This window comes from Homo sapiens, chromosome 10, assembly GCF_000001405.40.
Source record: "Homo sapiens chromosome 10, GRCh38.p14 Primary Assembly".
In the NCBI taxonomy this organism is placed as follows: Eukaryota; Metazoa; Chordata; class Mammalia; order Primates; family Hominidae; genus Homo; species Homo sapiens.
The window spans coordinates 92,909,274-92,925,413 of NC_000010.11; the positions used below are offsets into that span (position 1 = coordinate 92,909,274).

The window sequence follows — 16,140 nt, forward strand, 5'->3', positions numbered from 1 at the left end:
TGACAAATAGATGTAAATATTAATTTTACTTATTTTAACTAGGACTAGGTCCTTTTTGATGAATAATCAGTGTAAAACTGATTATTTAGATTTACTTGTAAAAATATTGTGATAAGAACTTTTTATAGAGTTTTCTTTTTTAACTTCTCACAGGTACTATTCTGCCCTAAAAACTATGGAACAATTAGAGAATGTGTACTTTCCCTGGGTTAGTCAATACCGGTTTTGTCAGCTCATGATAGAAAATCTTCCCAAACTCCGTGAGGATATTAAAGAAATCTCCATGTCTGATCTCAAAGACTTTTTGGAAAGTATTCGAAAACATTCTGACAAAATAGGTGAAACAGCAATGAAACAGGTGAGATTAAAAATAATTTTGATTTAATATTATTTAGTAATACAGGATCTGGAAAATATCCAAGGTTTACTTCTTTAACTTACATAAAATGCTTATTTTTGTTTTACCTTTTTCTTATCTTTTCTGGTTATTGTTTAGAAAGGATTCTATCAGTGTTTTCTTTGGCTTCACATTTATTCCTTTTTTAAGTAAAATCAGTCTAACATGAATTCTTTAGTTACTGCCCGAACTCTCAGCATTCTTCTCCATATATGTGGTGTTATGTTATCCTTTACCACCAGCCAAATCTGGTATAGAATTAGCTAAACAGTGGCAGCCCCAGAGGCAAGTGGGAGCCTTTTTATGCTAAGATTCTAAACTGTTCTCTATTTAAAACAAATTAAAAGTATTAACTGTGAATTAAAAACTACTACAGTTCAATAATAAACGGACAAACAATGGGAAAAGCCTCAGCAGTTAGGAAGTCAATATATCTACCTTTTGAGTCAGCAGTTCCACTCCTAGGTGTTTATCAGTGAGAAACAAAAAAACATGGGCTCACGATAGTCATAGCATCTTTGTTCACAGTTAGCCCCAAACTGGAAACAACCCAAATGGCTTTCAGAAGGAGAATGGATACACAAATGGTGGTATATTCATACAATGGAATACTACCTAGCAATAAAAAGGAATGAATTACTGCTAATGCAACAACATGTATGAATCTCACAGATGTGTTGAGCCACAGAAATTGAATACAAAAAGGCACAAACTGTGTGATTCCATTTTTACGTCATTCGAAAGCAGGTAGACTAAGATGGAAAAAATCAGAACAGTGGTTACCTCTGGGTGGGGAAATTGCCTAGGAAAGGACACAAGGGGACTTTCTGGGGAGATGGAAATGTTTTATACCATGATAAAAATGTATTTGTCAAACTTGTACAGATCTTAGCTATACATTTCAATGTATATACATCTTACTTAAAAAAACTATAAAAAAAATAAACTATAAATAGAAAACTGTACAAAATAATTTGGGGCCGGGCGGGGTGGCTCACACCTGTAATCCCAGCACTTTGGGAGGCAAGGCGGGCAGATCACGAGGTCAGGAGACCAAGACCATCCTGGCTAACACGGTGAAACCCCATCTCTACTAAAAATACAAAAAATTAGCCAGGCATGGTGGCGGGCACCTGTAGTCCCAGCTACTCAGAAGGCTGAGGCAGGAGAATGGCGTGAACCCAGGAAGCGGAGCTTGTAGCGAGCCAAGATCGCGCCACTGCACTCCAGCCTGGGTGACAGAGCGAGACTCTGTCTCAATAATAATAATAATTTGGGGTATATATGGAGTGAGTGGATAAAGGTATAGATGGAACAAGAATGTAAAAATATTAGTGGAAGATAAATGATGGGAGTTCATGATATTAATCTGTTTATTTTGAAATTTTTAATAAAAAGTTAAAAAATAATTAAATTTTCTAAGAGCTGTTCTTGCAATGTCATAGAAATGAAACAATGTCATAGAAATAAAACAATGCTCAACACTATTTCTTCTTTTTGTCTTTGCATTGCACACTCTTACATGATTTCTAATGCGTGATTTTTTTTTCCCCCAAGTATTACAAACTACTTTGGAAACTCCTAAGTCTTTCTTACTGGTTGTCTCTGGTCAGTGAGGGTCTTCCCCATTATAGAGCTCCTCACCATTGTATTCTTCCCTTCAATATTACAGTGTTTTCAATACTATTTCTCCTACCTCTGGCCAAGGAAATCTGTGCATGCCATGGGAGTTAAAAACACAAGCGCTTGGTAAATTTTTTCAGTATGAGAATGCCAACAGTAGTTTAAAGTTCATATTCCATTATACATTTTAATCACAAGTGTCGATATTAAACTTATCTTCTTTGACTTGTTTTTCATAGACCAGTTTTGGATTCTTTCCACTTAGGGAGTCCATCAAATCATGGGCCCTAGGATTTAAGATTTACAAAAATTTATTTCTGGGAGAGAATAGACTCTCTTGGTCCACTATCATTTTTTCCTCATAAAAGTTATCAAGCTCCCTATCATTGCAATTTAAACAGACATTTCATACAGAAACCTTTTCTTAGCATCTCTCTGTGGGGATGTTTTTCTTTACAATTTCTTCTTTTGGAAATAACTTCCACAGAGTTGAGAAGTTAGAGAGTTTTCCTTATAGTGAGAGTTAGACTTCTCAAGATTTGATAAGAAAAGTTGTATTTTTTCTGTCTTGGTATCCCTTCATGCTACCTTTCAATTTCTTGTGGGTTTCTCTCTCTCTCTCTCTCTCTCTCTCTCTCTGTGTGCGTGTGTGTGTGTGTGTGTGTGTGTGTGTGTGTGTGTTTGTGTATGTATAAGAAGCCTCCTGAAGTCTCTCATCAGCTGTGCTCAGTTTGGCAGAGTCACAGTTTAGTTCTGGAATCTTCTAGGTGGCATGAGTGTAAAGCTTATACCTTGTAAAGCAGCCCCCGCCTTTGGGTGCACTCTGTATCCTGTGCTTAATTCCGTGATCTCGTATCCCTTTTACGGATGGATGGACTTGTTATGTATTAATTTAAATATCTTAAAGCTACCCCAAACCCAGCATTTCTAAAACTAAACCCATTCTTTTTTTCCTAAATCTATTTTTCTTATATTTGCTATCTCAGATAGTATTGCAGGATCTGGCCAGCAGCCCGCAATGCAACGGGGCTCTCTATTTGTTCCCAGGCGGATCAGCAGGTCGAGAAATAATAGACACACACAAGATAGTGAAAGCTGGGTCCAGGGGGGTCACTGCCTTCTGGTCCCACGGTGCCTCCAATGCACTGGATATACCAGCATTTATTATTAAGTTTAGTGAGGGCGGGGTAGGTTAGTGAGGGATTTAGGGTCATTTGATTATGAGGTGAGATGGTCACATGGGGATGAAGTAATTCTTTAACATAACATCTATAGGTAGAAGTACAGTATACAGAGATAAAAATTTACAATACAGTGTGTGCATCAGTAATTTGTAACAGAGCCTTAAAACAGAAACACAGTCTTTCCATAACCTATGATTAGCCAGATACTAATCAGCAGTAACAGTTGCAGCAAAAGCTGGTTACAAACAATCTATAGAAACAGGACGTGAAGGTAGACAACCAGTCAGACCAGAAATTCTCAGAAGGGAGTATGCCTTAACCCTAAAGGGGCCTAGAAGAGCCGTGGCAAGATGAGGGTGTTTATAGCCCTATCTTATCCATATGGACAGGCACTCCCCTCATGCATCCATTTATAGGCTCTTCACAAGGGTTGCATTCCATTCCCAGAGCTATGAACATCTGCTTTTCTGGGATAGGAATCTTGGTGATGTGAAACCTCCCTGACTGCACGTCCATTCATAGGCTCTCTGCAGGGGGAAGCACATCACGTGCTTTTGGCTCATTCTGGCAGTCCAAACTGGCATTGTCTTTACACAATCCTGCATGCAGTTTTGTATTTACAATAATCAGGAGCATTTCATCTTTTATTCCATAGCAATAGTTTCAGGGGGTCTCCCTACAAGATAGTAGTGTCTCCTGTTTCCACAATTCCAGAAACTGGGGAGTATTTTAAACTTTTCATGAGTATTCATACTGTTAATGTTATTTGTTACTAAGTCCTACTTAGTTACTATCAATTCTGCTTCTAAATACCTGTAGATTCTGTTTCCCCCTCTACATAGCTGAACTGTTATATAGAATCATTTGTTTTCCTTATCTGTATTCTCTTCTCCTTTTGGTTACTGTCCTAAAATGCAGATAAGACCACACCACTTCATCTTAAGTGATACCCTGTTACCTTTTACTTAAGTCCAAGTTCCTCAGTCTCATCTTGATACTTGTCTCCCTTCTATGCTCTAGCAGTATTTGCTGTCTTACAGATTTTGGAATATACTAGGTGTTCACCAAGAATGTCCATTCTTTCACATTTCTCGGTCTGATGAATTCCTGCTTTTTCCTCCCAAAAGCGGGCTTGAACATCACCTTGTCTGTGAAATCTTCTGCCATCACCCATTACACTACTGCCAGTGAGAGATGGTCACTTCATCCTCAGTGTGTATACCATTGTACTTTTCACACTACAATTGCTTTTTTTATGTTCTTAACTAGACTGTGAATTTTTTAAGTGGAGGATTTTGCCCTGCTTATTTTTGCCTTCCTGGGATCTAGCTATTATGCCTAACATGAGTGGCACAAAAAAAGTTATTTTTGAAAATTAGTTTAGAGCTGAGTTTTAGATTGTCTAGGGAGAATTTTTTAAATTCTAATACGAGAGATGAATCCACTGTTAGTCTGATGTTTAATTAGCAATAAATATCTAAAATTTATATTGGGTAAGTTAACATTTTCCATATAATGTTCTCTGGCACACATTTTAATATTGCTCTCTAGGGCAGGGGTTCCTAGCCCCCAGGCCGTGGACTGGTACCTGTCTGTGGCCTTTAGGAACCAGGCCACACAGCAGGAGGTGAGTGGCTTGCTAAAGAGGATTACTGCCTGAGCTCCGCCTCCTGTCAGATCAGCGGCATTCGATTCTCATAGGAGCGCAAACTCTATTGTGAACTGTGCATGCGGGGCATCTAGGTTGTGCACTCCTTATGAGAATCTAATGCCTGATCATCTGAGGTGGAACAGTTTCATCTGAAACCATCCACCTGCAAAAAAAGCCTGGGGACCACTGCTCTAGGGAGAACAAAAGGACTAAATAGTCAAATAAATTTTGGAAACCTGAGTTAAATAAAGTTAAGCGGATTTCTTTACTTATGAATTGTAAATCTCCTAGGAGGAGGATACAATATGTAATATTTATATAACTCATTTGAACTTAGAACCCTTTTTTCAAGGAACATCTGTTTTTACTGTGTGAATTGTTAGTTTTGTGCATAACATAATTGGGAAACAATACTCTAAATAAATGATTTTATACTCTGAGGACAGAAAATCATTGACAAAATTAGTTTGGGCACAGAGGGAAAGGGAATACACAGGAGTGATAATAATTTTCTCCAGTACCAGCCTCTAGGGGGCAGCCAGGATCAAAGTCTAGGTAAGAGAGGAGCCAGATTACTGCAACTTGCATGGTCTGATAACCTAAGTGTAGAGAAGGGCTGATTGGCAGTTACATGTGCCTTAGAGAGAACTCACCTAAAATAGCCAGTGCACGACCTTTCTATGTGCTAACAGAACAAAATAGCAACAATCTGACCCATCAAAACAGAGAGAATGTCTCGCAGTGTGTAAGGAAATTAAAATCCTGGAATTAAGTTTATATTTTTTTCTATTTCTGGTAATGAAGTTCTGATAGGGAAGTATTACTAAAATGCCTAAAAGTATGAGGGTTCTCAACTTTTTATTCTGTGTAAATGTTGTTTTTTGTCAATGATCAATTGTGGGATAACAGCTTCTACATTCTTAGTCTTCACAAACTGTGGGCATTTTCAGTGGGAAGTAAAATAAGCTTGCAACTTGATGTTATAGTTCCTTCTGTGAGGTTAATGGCTAATTCAGGAAGTTGGGAGTATGGCCAAAGAGTGTTGGCCAGTCCCCCTTGCCAACACACAATATGCCAACTGAGGAAATACATGGTTCTACATAATTTTAAGACTGTTTAAAAAGGAAGAGAAGCTGGGTGCGGTGGGTCACACCTGTAATCCTAGCACTCTGGGAGGCTGGGGCAGGCGGATTGCTTGAGCCAGGAGTTTGGGACCAGCCTGGGCAACATGGCAAAACCCCATTTTACAAAAAAATACAAAAACAAAAAAAACAAAAAAACAAAGAAACATTAGCTGGGTGTGGTGGTGCATTCCTGTAGTCCCAGCTACTCTGGAGGCTGAGGTAGGAGGATCACTGCAGCCTGGGGAGGTTGAAGCTGCAGTGAGCTGTGATGGTGCCACTGTACTCCAGCCTGGATGACAGAGTGAGACCCTGATTTTTTTTTTTTTTTTTTTTTTAAAAAAAGGAAATGAGAAGGCAAAAATCATGAATAAGAAAGGAGACATCACTACAAATTCTATACCTACAGACATTAAAAAGATAAAAAAAAACTATGAACAAATTTTTTGAACCAATTTTGACCATAATCAGTTTTGAAATAATCTGAATTTCTCTCTCTTCAAAATAGGCACAGCATCAGAAAACCTTCAGTGTTTCTCTGCAGAAACAAAATAAAATGAAATTTGGGAAAAATATGTATATAAATCGTGATAGAATTCCAGAGGAAAGGAATGAAACTGTATTGAAACATTCACTTGAAGAAGAGGATGAGAATGAAGAAGAGGTGATAGGTGTCTTTCTTTCTTTTCTATTATTAGATAATTTTTTTTCTTTTGGATTGTAATGTACATCTGTGTGATTTAGTCTTCCTGTATGCAAAATAAATTTATGTTGTAAAAGTTGTCAGAGTCAAAATGGAGTCAGTGTGTCAAACTTTGACAAAATGGAGGCTGAGAAGGCCGTGAAGGGAGGGCTGTCATGGACGATTAGCCTGGTATCAGGAGCTATCACAATAAATTTTTTGAAACCATAGCTTACTGCATCAGCCCTACAAGGACAGCTAGCCGCTTACATGTGAACACTTGTCTGTTTCAAAACAGGCCAGGCACAGTGGCTCACACAGGTAATCCCAGCACTTTGCAAGGTTGAGGTGGGTGGATCACTTGAGGCAGGAGTTTAAGACCAGCCTGGCCAACATGGTGAAACCCTGTCTCTACTAAAAATATAAAAATTAGCTGGGCATGGTGGTGGGCACCTCTAGTCCCAGCTACTTGGGAAGCTGAGACATGAGAATTGCTTGAACCCAGGAGGTGGAGGTTGTAGTGAGCCGACATTGTGCCACTGTACTCCAGCCTGGGAGACAGAGTGAGACCTTGTCTCAAAAAGAAGAAAAAAAACAAACAACTATCTTACAAGGTCAATCCAAAACTGTAAGGGCCTAACCATAACTCCAAAATTACAAGTCCTTTCTAGCAACTAGTGACACTCACCAGTGAACTTTCTTTCAAAACAATTTGCATAACAATCTGTCTCCCCGGTAAAACCCTAACCTCCTTTGTTCTGCAGACATGCCAGAGACCACCCTGGTCTGTGCATGTCCTGGATTTTAATCCTATTTCTTTGTTTATTCTCAAATAAATTTTTTTGCTAGGAAATTTTTCTGTATATATTTTTATTTCAAGTTGACAAAGTCAGTCAGATTGTATTGAGCTATTAGGACAATGGAGTCATCTGAAATGTTGGGCTAGATAATTGACAGATAAACATGATTGTAGATTATATTCCTAAATCTCTGGTAGTGGAATCTGTAGAAAAAGTGTAAATCTAATTTTTCTTTCTTTTTTTTTTTTTTGAGACGGGTTCTCACTGTGTCGCCCAGGCTGGAGTGCAGTGGCGCTATCTTGGCTCACTGCAACCTCTGCCTCCTGGGTTCAAGCAATTCTCCTGCCTCAGCCTCCCAAGTAGCTGGATTACAGGCATGCGCCACCATGCCCGGCTGGCTAATTTTTGTATTTTTATTAGAGACGGGGTTTCACCATGCTGGCCAGGCTGGTCTTGAACTCCTGGCCTGGTGATCTGTCCACCTCGGCCTCCCAAAGTGCTGGGATTACAGGTGTGGGCCACTGCGCCCAAATCTAATTATTTTTATAGTGATTACTTATATTTGAATTACCTGTTGTCAGATTTTTATTTCGTAATGTCTTGTCATTTGGCCTAATTCTGGATAGTCTACCTATTTAAAAAATTGGTGCTGAAATACTACAAAAATAACTCTACTATGATTAGTCTTTTAATGGAAAAAAAAAAAGTTCTAGTAAGTCTAGAAACCTTGAAATTATCCTTAAATATTTTCTTTCTTTCATCTTCTATATCCAAATTCATTCTCTCGTTCTTTTTTTCTTTCTTTTTTTTTTTTTAGAGATAGGGCTCACTGTGTTGCCCGTGAGTGCAGTGGTACAGTCATAGCTCACTACAGCCTGCAACTTCTGGGTCCAAGTGTTCTTCCCACTTCAGTCTCCCAAGTAGCTAGGACTAAAAGCACACTATCACCATGCCTGGCTAATTAAAAAAAAAAAATTTCTTATAGAGACAGAGGTCTCACTATGTTACCAAGGCTGGTCTTGAACTCAGATTATCTTAGCCTCAAATTATCCTCTCACTCAGCCTTCCAAAGTGCTGAGATTACAGGTGTGAGCCACCATGCCCGGCATCCTATTGCTTTCGAAAGTTTTTTCTACAGGGCTTGATGCCGTGGCTCATGCCTGTGATGCTAGCACTTTGGGAGGCCGAGGGGGGCAGATTGTTTGGGCCAGGAGTTTGAGACCTGCCTGGCCAACATGGCGAAACCCTTTTCCTACAAAAAATACAAAAAAATTGCCAGGCATAGTGCCTGTATTCCCAGCTACTGGGGAGGCTGAGGTGGGAGAATCACCTGAGCCAGAGGAGGTTGAGGATGCAGTGAGCTGTGATCATGTCACTACATACCAGCCTGGGTGACAGAGTGAGACGCCCATTTCAAAAAAATAAATAAAATTATCTCCACAGAATCTTCTATTGAACTTACCTTTTATCGTCCTTTTCAATTTTTTTTTAAATTTAGCTACTATCATAGGAACCTTGTTATTCCCAATTAATTTATAAGTTTTGCCTTGCCAATGAGATTTTAAATTCTTTTTCTAAGGACATAATTGGGATGCAGTAAGAATTTTTAGTTGAACCATACGACTATGTGCTCATGACTGCATTTGTGAATGGGTGAACAGCTGAGTGTTTACTATGTGCATTTCTTTTTTTTTTTTTTTGAGACAGGGTCTTACTCTGTCACCCAGGCTGGAGAGCAGTTGGCATAATCATGGCTTACTGTAACCTCAAACTCTTATGTTCAAATGCTCCTCCTGCTTCAGCCTCCCAAGTAGTTGGAACTACAGGCACATGCCTGTATATACTATATCCAGCTAATTTTTTTATATTTTTTGTAGAGATGGGGAACTGCCGTGTTGTCCAGGCTGGTCTTGAACTCCTGGCTTCAAGTGGTCCTTCTGCTTTGGCCTCCTAAAGTGCTGGGATTGTAGGCGTGAGCCACCACACCCAGCCACTATGTACATTTCTGCTGTATATCTGAGGATGAGGTGATACATATGTACATAGTCACACAAATATATATGTAGTATATATGTAATATATTTGTGTGAATATGTATGCACATATGTGTATGTGTGTATATATGTGTATATATGTATATATATGCGTATGTAGTGAATGTCTGCTATTGTACTGAATACAGACAAATGAACAGCTTCAAACAGTTAAATGCCTTCCTAATGTGGAATTAGTATGTCCTGATTAGTCCCTTGAAATTATTATTAGGTTTTTTGTCCCTTTAAATTAAATAAATATTTTTGACCTCTGCTTTTTTGTTCTTTCTAAATATTCAGAGGACCTCTGTATTATTTTCTCCTTTGAGGTTCAGAATGTTGAAAATAGACCATCTAGTCTTCTTACTTCAATTTTCCCCTTCCTGTTCTGTATATCTTTCCTGCTGGGAGCATCACCATCATGCCTTACCCCCAGACCTTTACATTTAGAGGAGCTTGGTGGTTTCCCTGTTCTCTCAGATCTATTTTACTACTATACTGCACTACATTTTGTTTTTATCATTTTCCCTAATAAGCAATGTTATAGTAAAAATAATTTAAGTTCACTCTGGAGATTCACATGAGTACAAATGTGTTCCTTTAAAAAGGGTTTATGTATTTCTCAAGTTTGAGAAACTTTATAGTACTACATTTCATCAATTGTAAGGCATTTTTTTTTCCACATAACATTTCAGAATATAGGATACATCTTAAAGATGATGGTGTTATAGTTTTAAGTGGTGGTGTTTTTTCTTTCTTAGCAGTCTGTAAAATAATACTGATAGTGTCTTTAATTCAGTGCAATAATGACCAATCATATGACATAGCTGCGTAAGAACAGGAACTTTGTCTATAGCCAAATCATGAAATCTGTGTATCATTTTTACCCAAAACAATAATAAGGTATCTAGTTATCCATAGCAGTTTTCTGTAATCTATCATACATATTAAAAATATACAATTTCTCTCCTTGGTTACCTTAAGTTGAAAACAGTCCACAGTGATAATAAACATACTACAAAGAATAAACTGCTGAAGAAATGCCAAAACAAAATAAAGAAGGTTTTGCGTTTATAGTGTATGCTTTCTATGGGGGAATTGAATAAATGTTGTAACACAAAGTTCATGAATCTTCTTGCCTATCTTTAACTTTACATTATCTAATGGTGGTCTAATAGTTTGACCTATAATTTTTTTAAAAATGGTTTAATTTTCAGATCTTAACTGTTCAGGATCTTGTTGATTTTTCCCCTGTTTATCGATGTTTGCACATTTATTCTGTTTTGGTAAGTATGTTTTATATTTATGTATATATAGCTTTATATTATTTAAAAGGCATGTATGTATTTTAGGCCCTAAAAATTGATCATATGCTGTAAATCTTCACATAATTCTTTGTGAAATATCCACTCTGTGTAAGGCACTTACATTTTTTGTTTACTTATCATAGTGTAATTTCAAGTGATATACCATTTCATGTATATTTTAAGAACCTTGTAATAGTATACTTCCATTTCTCCCTATTGCCTTTGTGCTGTTGTTACATCACAGTTCTTATAAGTTACTTTTACATGTGTATTCCATACTACATTGCTCTTATTTTTGATTTAATGTTCCTTTTTAAAAATAACTGCTTTATTGAGATCTAGTTCACATACGAAAAAACTTACCCTTTTAGAGTATACAATTCGGTGGTTTTAGCATATTCACAAGGATGTGCAACCATTACCACTACCTAATTCCAGAAATACCCATTACCCACCCCTCCAACCACCCCCAAAACATCAAAAATGTGTATCTGGCTGTTATTAGGTGGTGTGTTCTATAGATATTTGTTAGATGTAGTTGGTTTATAGGGTTGTTCACGTCTTTTACTTCCTTGTTGGTCTTCTGCCTATTCTGTTATTGAAAGTAGAAGTATTGGAGTCTTCAACTATAACTGTTGAATTGTCCATTTTTTCTTTCAGTTTTGCCAGTTTTTTATTCATGTATTTTTAGGGCCTTGTTGGCAGGTGAATATATGTTTATAATTGTTATGTCTTCCTGATGGATTGACCTTTTTTAAAAAAATCATAAAATATCTTTCTTCATAATATTTTTTGTCTTAAGGTCTGTTTGGCTTTAATTAGTATAGCCACTCCAGCTTTCTTCTGAGCACTATTGGCATAGCATGTTTTTCCCCATCCTTTTACTTTCAGTCTCTTTGTATCTTTGAATCTAAAGTATGTCTCCAGTAGGTAACACATAGTTCAGTCTGTTTTTTTAAATCCAGTCTGCTGATCTCTGCCTTTCAATTGGAGTGTTTAGTTCATTTACATTTAATGTAATTACTGGTAAGGTAGGATTTATGTCTGCTCTGATGTTTGCCATTTGTTTTAACATGTCTTATATCTTTTTTGTTCCTCTATTCCTCCATTAGTACTGTCTTGTGCATTAAATAGATATTTTCTTATGTACCATTTCATTTCCTTTGTCATTTCCTTTTTTTTTTTTTTTTGTGCTGGAGTTTTGCTCTTGTTGCCCAGGATGGAGTGCAATGGCATGATCTCAGATCACTGCAACCTCCGCCTCCTGGGTTCAAGTGATTCTCCTGCCTCAGCCTCCCAAGTAGCTGGGTTTACAGGCACCCGCCACCATGGCCAGCTAATTTTTTGTATTTTTTTAGTAGAAATGGGGTTTCACCTTGTTGGCCAGGCTGATCTCGAACTCCTGACTTTAGGTGATCCACCCGTCTCGGCCTCCCAAAGTGCTGGGGTTACAGGTGTGAGCCACCTAGCCCAGCCTATTTTCTTAGTATTAGCCCTGAGGATTGCAATTAACATCTTACTTTAAAACAATTCAGTTAGATTAATACCCTTTTCTTTGTGCTATTGTTTTCTTTCTTTCTTTTTTTTTTTTTTTGAGATAGGGTCTTGCTCTGTCACCCAAGATGGAGTGCAGTGGCGTGATCACAGCTCACTGCAGCCTTGACCTCTTTGGGCTCAAGCGATTCTCCCACTTGAGCCTCCCAAGTACCTGGGACTACAGGCTCATGCCACCATGCTTGGCTAATTTTTGTATTTTTGGTAGAGGTAGAGTTTACAGTATAGTCTTACTGTTTTATGCTGTAAATTTAATAAACTTTCATTAGCACAATAACTTCTGGCTGGTATATATAACCAAAAATTATTTGGTAAAGCTAATTTCTTTCTTTTTTTTTGAGACAGAGTCTTGCTCTGTTGCCTAGGCTGGAATGCAGTGGTGCCATCTTGGCTCACTACAACCTGCGCCTCCTGGGTTCAAGCGATTCTACTACCTTAGCCTCCCAAGTAGCTGGGATTACAGGCGCCTGCCACCACGCCTGACTAATTTTTGTATTTTTAGTAGAGACGGGGTTTCTCCATGTTGGCTAGCCTGGTCTCGAACTCCTGACCTCAGGTGATCTGCCCACCTCAGCCTCCCAAAGTGCTGGGATTACAGGCATGAGCCACCGTGGCCGGCCACTAATTTCTTATTATTGTTACAACTCTTCTTCCTTCTACTTGTTATTCCAGTTCTGCCATTTCCCAGCATTATAGCATTGGGAAAATTACTTCCCTTATTTGAGTTCCTCATTTGCAAAATATGGTTAACAATTTCTAAGGCTATGTTGGATATTATAGTCAATATAAATAATAAAAGTGCTTGGTATAGGACCTGGTATAAAATATCAGGCAGTAAATGTTAAAGGGGTTATTATAAAAGGGTTACATTAATATGTATGCTTTCAAGGACTGTTGACTGTAAGTCTACTTTAGCCAAAAAAGCTCTTTGTCCGAAATCCTAAGGTATCCTACTCTATTTGATCAAATATGAGTATTCCATGAAAGGAAAATAGGTATAATGTCAAAAAAAGGGATTCTCTTTGGAAAATGCTGCACACAATATTCACAATATAGCTTATCATAGCTTATCATTTTTCAGACTTTGAGAAGTCCTAAGAGCTTCTCTGACTTTACTTAGCTGGCTGTATCCTAAACTTTGAGTATAGGGATCATTTTTTTTCTTAGAATACTGAATATTGAATGAGTTAATTTCCTAATTATCTGATGAATACCAAATATAGTGTGCGAATTGCTGCCCTAGGAGTTTTTAAGGGTATGTGAAGGCTTTCCAAGGGGCCCTGGGCTAGAAACTTTAGGGAAATAAATTTTAGGTCCAGGCTTTCTTTCTAAAAATGATCTGTTTGGGAAGCCCAACCTGTCTTCAGAATAGTTCTTCTCTTACTGTTGGTGCTCTGCTCAGATTCCCTTGGGTCCCTTTTCAGCTAGAAGCTACCCCACATCAGATTACCAGTGTTGAGATTAATAAGTTATGGTGTGTAGATATGGTGTTTGAAAGCCTAGCTTCCTTGCCTAGATTAGGACAACACTGAGGTATAACTTATGCTCTGAAGTTGCAGTGTGGAATCAGGCACACAATTTTTTGCCTTAGATGGTACCCTTGGTTGGCTTCCTCTTGTTCCTTTCACTTTCTTCACTTCTTGAACAGTTTCCTTCTTCAACATTTCTTTAGTTTATCATTGATCTCAGATTCTGTTCCTAGGACAGCTACCTAAGATAGTGACCATATTAGTTATCAATTGCTGTATAACACACTGCCTTAAAACAACAAACATTATTATTCCACAGTGTCAGCAGTCAGGGAGTCGCTTAGCTGGCTGGTTCTGGCTACAGGTCTCTTATGAGATTCTAGTCAAGATGTCATGAGGACTGCTGTCATCTGAAGGCTTAACAGGGGCTGGAGGATTTGCCTCTATGATGGCTGCTGGTAGAAGGCCTCAGTTCCTTGCCACATGGAGTGTCTACTAGGCTGCCTGAAAGTCCTCATGACATGGCAGCTGGCTTCCCCCAGAGTGAGTCATCCAGGAGAGAAACCAAAGTGGAAGCCATCATTCCTTTTATAACACAATCTCAGAAGTGACATACCATTACTTCTGCTTTATCCTATTCATCACATAGATGAACTCAGGTGCATTGTGGGAGGGGACCACACAAGGGTATGAATACCATGAGGTGGGGATCTTTGGAGGCTGTTTTGAAGGCTACCACGTTTACTTTATAAATGAAAATCATACCCTTCACTGATACTCAGTACTACCATGGTGCATTGTCTTGAGGTGTAAAAGCTTCCAGGGTGCCAAATAAAGGAGAAGTCTCCTTTAATTATTAATCAAGGAACTGTATTGGGAGTTCCTTCCTTTCCATTTTTGCACAAATTTCTGTTAAGGGTAAATCATATTAGGAACAGTATATTTTGTCCTGTGGTAGGATATTCTGAATTTAGATATGTAGTAGGGAGTAATGACATAGGTAGGAATAACGATAGTTTCCTTTTAATGACCTGTTCTTTTTCCCCCTAGCTATTGACAACAAGTAATTGCTTTTAAGAGAGAGTCCCTGTGAGAGTAGAGCAAAGAGAACACAGAGAATTTTGATTGCTAAAACTATGTCCTATGTGTTTAAATGTAAACAATGATTTTGACTAATCTTAATACTCTTCGTTAGGATGTATCATTTGCTGTAAAGAAAAACACCTTTAAACAGCCAAATGATATGGGTTAGTAAAGCTGTATCTTTTAAACATGAATGGAGTGTTTTCTGGGGCTGCCAAAAATTTTAAGTTACACTGGCTAACTTTATTTTTTCATATTCATGTACATTATGATTCGATAAAGTGGGTAAAGCTGTTTAGCTGTCATAAGTCTAAGTCCAATTGTTTAATGTTTTCTACTTCATATTTAAAGTAAACCCTGGCTATTCATTTTTAGCAGCATATACCATTCTCTTTTGTTAAACACCCAGAAAAAGGATGGTCATCATATCTAATGAAATTAATGGAGTTATGCCTGATTTTATTGTTTGATTTATTGATTAATAGGGGTGCATTTTTTAATGTACTTTTATTTATTTTAGTAGCTTTAGGGGTACAAGTGGCTTTTGGTTATGTGGATGAATTGTATAGTAATGAAGTCTAGGCTTTTAGTGTACTTGTCACCTGAATAGTGTACATTGTACCCAATAGGTGATTTTTTTCATCCTTCACCCCACTTCTGAATCTCCAATGTTCATTATACCACTCCACATGCCTCTGTATACCCATAGCTTAGCTCCCACTGATGAGTGAGAACATGCAGTATTTGGTTTTCTGTTCCTGAGTTCTGTCACTTAGGATAATGGTCTCTAGTTCCATCCAGGTTGCTCCAAAAAATATTATTTTATCCTTTTTTATATCCCTGATTTTTATACTTGGTTGTATTTAATTATTTCCAAAAGTTGAACAGGTTTTATGTATGTCCACATGTTAATGGAAGGCATGTAGTATTGTTTATTATGCTCCTTACTTCATAAAAGCTTAGAATTTTAGTTGTATATTACATTGCATTATTGTAAATTAAGTAATGAAAACAGAATAAGTAATGAGAAACTGATTTATTGTCTTGATTTTAAGGGTGTGAATGCACAAAACAATCACACTGGGTTTAAATAATATTGACTGCTTTTTGTAATTCCATAAATTTTTTTTTTTTTAAGACAGAGTCGTGCTCTGTTGCCCAGGCTGGAGTGCAGTGGTGTAATCTTGGCTCACTGCAACCTCTGCCTCCCAGGTTCAAGCAATTATCATGCCTCAG

General features: G+C 37.8%; 1 protein-coding gene across 12 annotated transcripts in view; it reads left to right on the forward strand.

Annotated features, from left to right (window-relative positions):
• EXOC6 (exocyst complex component 6) overlaps window positions 1-16,140 on the forward strand; it is a 232,660-nt gene that overhangs the window by 82,443 nt on the left and 134,077 nt on the right. For 11 of the 12 annotated variants that reach the window (NM_001013848.4, NM_001319194.2, XM_017016344.3 and 8 more), the window contains 3 exons: window positions 154-358; window positions 6,485-6,640; window positions 10,709-10,777. In NM_001013848.4, coding sequence (NP_001013870.1) covers window positions 154-358; window positions 6,485-6,640; window positions 10,709-10,777 — 430 coding nt within the window. The remainder of the gene's footprint in view (window positions 1-153; window positions 359-6,484; window positions 6,641-10,708; window positions 10,778-16,140) is intronic. The other variant, NM_001319200.2, reaches the window with a different exon arrangement.